Source organism: Homo sapiens, chromosome 10 (genome assembly GCF_000001405.40).
Source record: "Homo sapiens chromosome 10, GRCh38.p14 Primary Assembly".
In the NCBI taxonomy this organism is placed as follows: Eukaryota; Metazoa; Chordata; class Mammalia; order Primates; family Hominidae; genus Homo; species Homo sapiens.
In genome coordinates, this window is record NC_000010.11 from 36,794,682 (window position 1) to 36,804,790 (window position 10,109).

Genomic DNA, 10,109 nt, shown 5'->3' on the forward strand with positions numbered 1-10,109 from the left:
GAGGCTTATGCAGCTTAAGTCATTTTTTCAAGGGTTTTCAAGTCACAAGGGCTGTTGTTAGTATGTGGTTGAATGAGGACTTTAGGGATGCCTACCCTAATTTCAGAATCCAAACTCAGAGGGTAGCCAAAAGTGCTGGGTGCTATAATGACATCTCATTGGGATGGGCTGAAAAGTGGCCATAGGGCTAGGCTATAAGAGTTGGCACAGTTTCTGCAGCAAGAAGGAGAAGAACACAAATGACAGTAGTGTGAAGATACAGGACATGAGATAAAGAGAGGATTCCATTATCATAACAGGCCTAATGAGCCACAGTAAAGCCCTAATTCACGAAACACCACACAGTGAAGAGAATGTCACTACCTGTTATTTAAATATCCTCTAAGAATGCTGAAAAATGATAAATGAAGAATGAAACTTATGAGGCTCAGTGGGACAAATTCTCTAAGCCATACTTTCTTCACTGAAATTGATTAATTTTCCTTAAGAAATGACATCATTCTCATGAGGTAATCTATGATTCGTTGGTCTAAGATAATCCAGTGGGCGACAAGGGTCATCTCTCAGTGGAAATCCTATGTTTCCATCTATACATTGCTCTATTTGATCAGTTCACTCTTTCTAAGTTCACCCTTTCCTGCATCTCCTGTCTTCTACTAGATTTTTATGCCAACTGGTATGACCATGTTTGAGGATTCCCTAATAATTAGACCAAGTGTGTCAACTCATGTACTTTTTTATCTCAAAAAGAATATATAAAGAATTTATCTTCTAATGAATATGTAGAAGAACTGTGAAAAATAAAACATACAAAATATACTATTACCATTTTATAGCATTTGTTTTGATACTTGAGTCACATCTAAGGCTAAACATAAAATCTCTGCTAAATACAGCAGAAGGCATAAGAAAATCTAGTTGAAAAGGAAACATAGTAAAAATACTAGTTAGATCCATAGAAGGTGGGTGTATTTTCCTAATATACTGACATGATCTCTCATATCTGACTAAATTTGTTGTATATGCATGTGAAATTTCTCACTACCTCTTAATACCTTCTAAATAAGAAAATTAGCTGTGTTTGGCTTTTTCCTCCTATCTACCAACTCCCTAATCAAAAATAGTGATAAAGCTTTTCAGTTTAAAACAGATTTTTAATTTAAAATCCACCTGAAATTTATCAGAAGATTATTGAGTGCTTTAAAATCTTAGTAAACATTGAAATCTGAATTAAGAAAGGTTAATTGATAAAAAATTTATGACTCAGATTCGTGTTTATGAATCCACCTAAATTTCCTAAGAATACCTTTAGTGTTTAGCGTGCAGGTCCTGGTCTTGTCTTTGTCTTTGTGGGTTTTCTGTTTGCTTGTTTTCATTTTTGTTTCTAAGCTTTAAGTTTTAGTAATTTTTTTATGTTCTGAAAATCCTGTGAGAGAAAAACTATTGAAAAAGATTACAAATGTACAAAATTCTCCCTTGATATTTGATTGAGAGTACTTTCTGCATACATACAAGATATATAGTCTTCTTTTATTTATTATTTATTATTTATTTATTTATTTTTGAGACGGAGTCTCGCTCTGTTGCCTAGGCTGGAGTGCAGTGGTGCGATCTGGGCTCACTGCAACCTCCGCCTCCCGGGTTCAAGCAATTCTTCTGCCTCAGCCTTCTGAGTAGCTGGGATTACAGGTGTGAACCACTACGCCCAGCTAATTTTTTTTGTATTTTTAGTAGAGATGGGGTTTCACCATGTTGGTCAGTTTGCTCTCGAACTCCAGACCTCAAAGGATCCGCCCACCTCAGCCTCCCAAAGTGCTGGGATTATAGGTGTCAGCCACCGTGCCCAGCCCTAGTCTTCTTTTAAAATAGCACATAGAAGGACTTCATATATGCTGGGATAAAGACACATGCTTCCATCAAGTTCAGCATCTGGAAAAGGTAAGGGAGGAGGTCATCACAATAGTTTCTGTTTTCGATACATGATATCAGTGACATCTGTCTGACATGTTATCTGTATATATTTTTTAAAGAACTATATGCCTTATGGAATGTAATATTTAATACTGAATTTGAATGAACTTTGTCAAATAACATTCATTTGAATTTTCTACAAACATATCTGAAAGAAATCTCAAAGAAAATTAATCTCATTTTTTCAAATATTAAGTATGTGAAAGTTATAATGAAAGATCAAAAGAAATAAATGAACCTGTTTTTATTTTTATTTTTTGTTTTAAAGCTAAATGTGCTTTATTGAATTGTAATGAAGAGTAGCATCTGTTTTGTAAAGGGTGTAATGAGGGCAGTCCTTTACTTGGATGGAATGAGGCACGATAACTTCTAGGTGAATAGATTTCTGTGCATTTGTTGGGATGTGAGCCATTGATGACAAATTTGGTGACAGTTCACAGCTTTTTAAGTTGCTTACTATAAGATCTTCCATACACTTTACATGTGAAAAACTGTTGTTTCAGTTTTGGTCATTAGAAACACTTTCAGTTGGCTCCAGTGTGCCTTTGTCATATGTTCATTATTGCAGGTTTTTTTTTTTAATTTGATTTGCCAGCTTTCTTCACTTTCTGGCACTACTACATGCTCCAGGCTCACCTTGTCTATTTTCTGTACCAGTCCTAGAATCAGCCATTGTTTCAGTCAGTTGGGGCTTCTATAACAATTATGTCATCGACTAGGTGGCCTAAACAAATATTCATTTCTCACAATTTTGGAGGCTGGGAAGTCCAAAATCAAGGTGCCAGCAGATCTGGTGTATGGTGAGGTTTGTATTACCACATGGTGGGAAACAGAGAGAGAGAAAGCCCTCTCACATCTCTTCTTATACGAGCACTGATCTTATAAATGAGTTCTCCACCTTCATGACATGGTTACCTCCCAAAGATTCCACCTTCTAATGCCATGACATTGGAGATTAGCCTTCAACATATCAATTTTGGGGGTAAACAAACATTCTGTTCATTGCAGCCATTTATCCAAAGATCACTGAATCATTTTATTGGAGAACTGTGTTAGCAACCAAGATCTGGGTACTAGGCATACTCATTTCTACCTGGATGTTGTTGCTTCTAGCCCTTCTCAGCTGACAAAGAAAATAACTACATATGTGAATACAAAGTCATTTGTATGTACGTAATTACATATATATTTTATACTCTACATCTGTATTAAGCTAAACATGATTTCATGCTGATATTTCCAATTCTGATCTATTACATATGGATCATTCTAGCCTTCTCCTCTTATGTTTCTGTAGTCTCTTACTCCAACAGTGAAAAACCTGGCTTCAGTCATCATCCAATCAATGATTTAATTGTTTGATTCTAGTGTACATGCATAGCAGTATCAGAATTGTTAGCCTGTACTCCTGTAAGAAACACCTTTATCAACTAGAATACAGTGTTACCTACTGTTCCTTTTCCCTTGAGTTTTACAAACCTCACTCATTTCTTAAATTACTTTAGTGAGCAACTTTTCCCCACTGTTGTTGGTGAGGTTGCTTCACAGGTTTTTAATACAGTTAGATTGTTTTGTTACATTCTAACTTTCTTCATGAGCTGCTAAATAATTCTCAAAATTTGCATTCATTAAGGTTTATTATCAGTGTCAGTGCATTTTGACAAATGCATAATGACATGTATTCAAAAATAAGGTACCATAAAGATAGTTTATCCACCTAAAAACCTCCTGTGCTCCCTCCCTAACTTAAAAGATTTTATAACTCACTCTCTTCCTCAAGAGGGAGGACATAATATTAACCTATATTTTGATGTATATGGACTTCCTTTGGCTTATTTTTACCTTTCCAGACACATCTTCAGAGTCATATTCAGACTCAACAATTGTGCACTGAATGCAAATCAAACTGTTTGTATTTTTTCGAATATATCATCTTGCAAATTAATCAACACTAAATACTTCCTCCCTCTGCTCAAAAGGCCCTTCTAGCCGTGAAAGCCTAAACAATTTCTGCAAATTCTTCAAAAATCACATCAAATGTTGCCACTGTCAGAACAGACCTCCTCGATCATATAAAACAGGAGAGTTAAAATGTATTCTCCATTTCATTTATCCCTCTATAGTTTTTTATTTGTTTTCTTGTTCCTTTCACTAGAATATCCTTGAAGAAAGATGTCATGATATTCACATGTATGTCTCCAGTGCCTGTCAGAGTATCTGACACAATATTTGCATATTCAATAACTATGAGTCAAAGAGACAATAGAGTGAATGAATGAATAAATGAATGAATGAGGGAGAGACTGAATGAGTGAAACATACATATTTATTTCTGATTTCAAATTTCAAAAGTTGAACTATATGGAAGTTGAGGCTACCCTAAGTCTAAAATGGTGAGTCACATCTTCTCAGGGGAGTTTGAAAAGCCCTAGGTCTAACCACTTGAGGACCACTGGATCTATTCATGGAAGGCTTATGAACGAAGCTTGATAAAAACTTTGTTCCCTTAGAGTTGATACGAAGTTTTCTTCTTGCTTTGACTTATTAAAAAATTTTTAGGCCAGGTGTGGTGGCTCACGCCTATAATCCTAGCACTTTGGGAGGCTGAGGCAGGCAGATCATGACGTCAGGAGTTCAAGACTAGCCTGGCCAACGTAGTGAAACTGCGTCTCTACTAAAAATACAAAAATTAGCTGGGCGTGGTGGCTTGTGCCTGCAGTCCCAGCTACTCAGGAGGCTGAGGCAGGAGGATTGCTTGAGCTGGGGAGGCGGAGGTTGTGGTGAGCCGAGATCACACCACTACACTCCAGCCTAGGCAACAGAGCAAGACACCATCTCAAAAAAAAATTTTTTTTTAAGAGCTAAATATCTCCATATGACAGCCCAACCTTCTGTGAGTATACATACAACTCTAAGACTGATTTTCTGGCCAAATGGAGAATTTGGATAATATTGCAAGGCAATAGCAACACTTATCTCACAGGAATCTCTTCTGTCCTTATTTTCAAACTTTCAATACACAAATTTGGTACAAATATTAAGTACAGATATCATTGTATTAAGTACAAATATCACCACTGAAATTCTTTATTTCACAGGCTTCCACATAAACCAATAAAACTAATTTAAAGTCTTGCAGTATATTCCAAGACCTCTTCTCCATGTCACCTAGAATAACCACTCTGTAAACATTCAATGTCAAGCTTAAGTGCTCAAAAATTGAAATTTTGCTTTAATAAAAAGGATATTGAATGCAACTGAGGAAAGAGTTCCAACTTTCTTTGCTAGATCCTCCAAATAAAAGAACCTATTATGCCAAATCAAAGCAGGTATTTCTATTGACGAATGCTAACACCTGCATATCAGGCAGGCTGGGTGATGTCATTCATCTTTTCTGTGCTAAATTCAGCAATTAGCCAAAGAACAAACTTGTGCTTGGAAAATGCAATTGCCTCAAATAAATGATTTAAACGAATAATAAAAAGCAATTAATTGTATGATGCATTCTAAAGATCAAGTTGCTTCATTTAGGGATCAATGAAAAGCTTTAACCACTAAACCACCTTAAATCAATCTAAACACTTGCACTAAACTTCTTAAACACAAATATTTTTTCTTTTTTCCTGTCCTCTGAAACGGAATTTATTTGAGGTAGAAATTCCAAAAAAAACCCACACCATTTTGTGATTCAACTGCTTCTCTTAAGACAACCACATCAACTTTATCAACTCAAAAGGTTAAGTTTGGGCAGGTTTTTTTGGTTTTGTTTTGTTTGTTTGTTTGAGACAGTCTTGCTCTGTTGCCCAGGCTGGAGTGCAGTGGCGTGATCTCTGCTCACTGCAGGCTCCACCTCCTGGGTTCACGCCATTCTCCTGCCTCAGTCTCCTGAGTAGCTGGGACTACAGGTGCCCGCCACCACGCCCAGCTAATTTTTTGTATTTTTAGTAGAGATGGGGTTTCACCATATTGGCCATGCTGGTCTTGAACTCCTGACCTCGTGATCCTCTCGCCTCAGCCTCCCAAAGTGCTAGGATTATTGGAGGGAGCCACCGCACCCGGCCTGTATTACTGTCTTTAGCTGATTAAGGTTAAACATTTAGACTATGATTATTCAGGGTAAAGAAACTATAAAATGGTCGCGTTAAAATATCTTTATTAAAGAAGTACAACAAACTTACTGGTTAAATGACTTTTTTTTCCCTTTAAGAGTTAAACTCATTTTCATCCTCATTTTATGCATATGTGAAAGATATATTTTTTACAATTGCTCTAACACAAATACTGCTAAACTTTTACAATAACATTGCTCTTTTCTTTGGAATAAATGAAGCCTCAAAACAAGTGAACCGTTGCCTGCTATGTGTTATTCTTACCATTTCATTTGCTCCAGATCCACTGCCAGTTTGAAAGCTCCTGTGCATAAAGCATTGCCAAGCTTGAAAGTATAATAAACCTTCTGTAATATTCTTGGAGACCAAAGACACTGTGAACTCAGGGAGTCGAGCATTTATATGTTTAAGCCAGGTATTGCAATTCTCTTAATCTCATGAGATGTTAAATAACCATGGGCTGAATAAAGCTGTTTTCTGCTAAAAGTGAAATTTTACCCAAGTCTTATCAATATAAAGTGAGAGTCTCCAGGGTGGAAGGTGGCGTTTGGATTCATAGAAGAGTAAGAATACCTGAGTGGGTGTCATGAGTGTTTTGAGGAGGGAATAAACACTCAGGCTGTGCGCAGAAACCTCAAACTCTATAGAGTTTTAGAAAAACAAACAAACAAAATATATTACGGTATCCATTGACATGAGACAGTATTTTTTAAATGATAAATCTGTGTTTCTGTGTATTTCTTACAATCATTAAAAGTATTTTATCCTCTCTATACAACCCTCCAATTTGGATAAAGAAAATTTAAAAATGTAGAAATGTTTATACTTCATTATTAAAAGATCTGGCATTTATTACAAATTTTTCTTATGCTAATTTTCACTCATGTATTATGGTAGACAAAAAATTCTACTCACTAATCAAATATTATTCTTGTCTCAGACCTTAAACCAGATGTAGAAAAATTGATCAAGCACATTGGAGTCCCTTCTTATTACAGTAAAATATAAGTCCTGTGGCTGAGGTCAAAGTTGAAGCTAGAGAGAGTGAAGGTTTTGCCATCCCCACGACCTCTGAGTCACAGCCTGGCATTTTTCCTGTCACTGTTGATGGAGTGGTCAAAAAGACTCAGGGCTAAGAGTACTATTCTGGAAAAACCAGACGTAAGAACTTTTCAGATCATAGACAACACAAAGTCTGAGAAAGTTCTGTCTCTTACAGAAATACCATTCTCCCTACTGCTTTTTTGGAGAATGTCGAGCTGGCTTCAGAAGGCTAAGAAAACACATACATTTTATTCTAACTGCGGGATATCTGACATATATTTCACCAGGCCTGATAGTGTGAGCATGGCTGAATTGACCTCTGTATGCCTCAGTTTCCTGTTCTGGATGAAGGGTGTAAATCAAGCCCACAGGGGTTTAGTGGGAGACTTAGCTCCTGTTCTCACTTGCAAAGGACTCTCAGTCACTGTTTTCCAAACCCACCCTCCTTCGTGAGATGGCAGAAGTTTCACTTAATTCTACTTGGGTCAGCTCTGATTTCTCCCTCCCAGGGTTTCCATCCAAAGGTTCCTGTTAAAGCTGGTGATGAGAAATCTGACAGTAAAATGGAGTTGTAAGTTTGATGGGAAGGTTGTTATTTTTCCCTGCCCCCACCATCCTTCCTCTACCCCTTTTCCCCCTTCCTCAAATGGCCTGGCTGCTGCAACGTGAGAAACATAGTTGCACTGCCTCTGCTCGCTGCATGAGGCGAGGTGAAGAGGGGGGCAGTGAGTGCCAGACCCCAGATTGATGGCATGTGGAAAGCCAGCGCCAGAGCTGCCGGCAGCCAAGCGCTCCTCTGCGGGGATCCCACAGAATACACTTTCCAGATTTCTGGGCCTCTGTCCAGCCACACACTTCTGTGCATGCAACTCTCCCTTCACGAGAAAGGGGCTGGGAGGGAGGGGTGGAGGCAAAGTCCTCTGTGCACTTGCTTACTTATTTACTGCTTTAGTAAATGTGCTGAACATATGTTACTTTAAGAAGCAGCCAGGCAGAGAAAGCCAATCTGATTACCTCTTTCCACCAAGCCTTCCTCCTCTCCTTCTGGTGTGGATGATTACAATTGGATGAGGGCCAGTCTAAAAGGGGGCTATGTCCTCCAGGGCTGACAGCCGCTGGGGTAGGCTTGTGTGGACACAGTGGAAACACCACAGATAGCGTCTCTTCCACCGTCAACCATGCAGCCATGAGCAATTACATTTCAATTCCAGACCATCCGCTCTGGGCATAGCTGCTGCTGTCTGGAAACCCAATACTCCTGGATCTTGCTTGGCTTAGGAGCTGTAGTGGGCCCCGCAGCTGAGGAATGACTTCCCTCCAGGCCTGCGGAACTAGATTATGTTCATAGGAATTAACTAAGAATCTTACCTATTCTAGCGTCACTGGGTTTGGAATGCCTTTCTCTCCTCCAAATTTCTGCAAATAAAAGCTAAACTTGAAGCAGGCTAACTAGCCAAGTAAGAAATGGTTGAGTGAATAGAGTCTAATAAGAGCAGATTGAATTTATGCTCTCAGATGAAATTAAGATATGAGGACCACGAGAAATAGAAAGACATTATGAGATTAAAAGTTGTTTAAACAAAATGCCCCAAGTAGCTATAGAGTTGAAGTGTTCTGGCTCAAGATGTTTGAATCAGCACATTCCTTTTTCTCAACTCTTTTGAGAGCCTATTAAAGTGACAGTCAGTGAATTAAAAGTTATACACGCATAACAAGAACAACGATAAAACCCACGAAAGAAGAGATCTGTGGAGAAGGTGGAAAGTGGATAAAATGATGGAGATGGAAAAGGCAGCATCAGGCTGGGCGCGGTGGCTCATGTCTGTAATCCCAGCACTCTGGAAGGCCAAGGCGGGCAGATTTAGTTCCCTTAATATAGAAAGTGAATCAGGGAATCACAGATCACCTCATCTCTCATCCCAACTCCTGTGCAGACCAGGTAATACCTTGGAGAGTCTTTCTCTATAAAAACTTCTAACTATTTTGGGAAAACTAGGGGAGATAAGATGGATAGTGTCATCCTAGAGCAAAGCACTAATGCTTGTGGAATTTTTTTTAATTTTATTATTATTATACTTTAAGTTTTAGGGTACATGTGCACAACGTGCAGGTTTGTTACATATAAGCCTCTAGGACCATGCCCAACTCCAGGCTCACTCGACATCTCTTGCCTGCCTCTAAGCCCTTCATCAGTCATTTGAATCTCTCCATATGAAATAGAAAAGGAACAATTAAAGACACTAGATATTTGAAGAAAGCCTCCACATGAAAGATAAAAATCCAGGTAAAATTGGCCCCCCAAAAACCAAATATTCACAAAAATGAAAGGACTTTAAAAAACTCAATAAAACTGCACCCCTACTTAGTATCAGAAAGTTTCAATAAGTGTTAGAAAAGTTAGAAAGTGCAAAGAAAAATCAGCAATAAGAACTGACCAAAAGAAATCTATAATTAAAAAAAGGATCTTAGAGTCTTAGGAAGTTTTTAAAATACGATTGATTAAATTACAAAAAAAAGACACTGAGAAAAGATTAAGAACATCTTCAAGAACTTGAGTTAAAAGACATAATGTGTGAATAAAGGAAATGCAATATCTGAATAGCTAATTCTCAAGAAAAGGAACAAAAATTGAAGAAGAAATTATCAAATAAATAATGAAATCAATTTTTCCAAAATTGAGAGAAGACATATGCTACCGTATTTAAAAAGACCCCCCTAATTGCCAAGTAGTAAGAATTTGGGGAAACTCCCACACATAGAAAAATACTGTCAGTTATTAATGCAATAAATATATCAAAACATGATTCTAAAAAGTTTCATATAAAAAAAACAAGACAAAAATTTTCCTATAAAGAAACAAGAATCAGTCTTGCATCTAATTTTTTTCACAACAACGATGCATCCTAGAAGATGGGGATATAAATTTTTAAAGGACCAAGGGATATATTTTAGAAACTGAAAGTGTTATGGATTAGTACACATAAA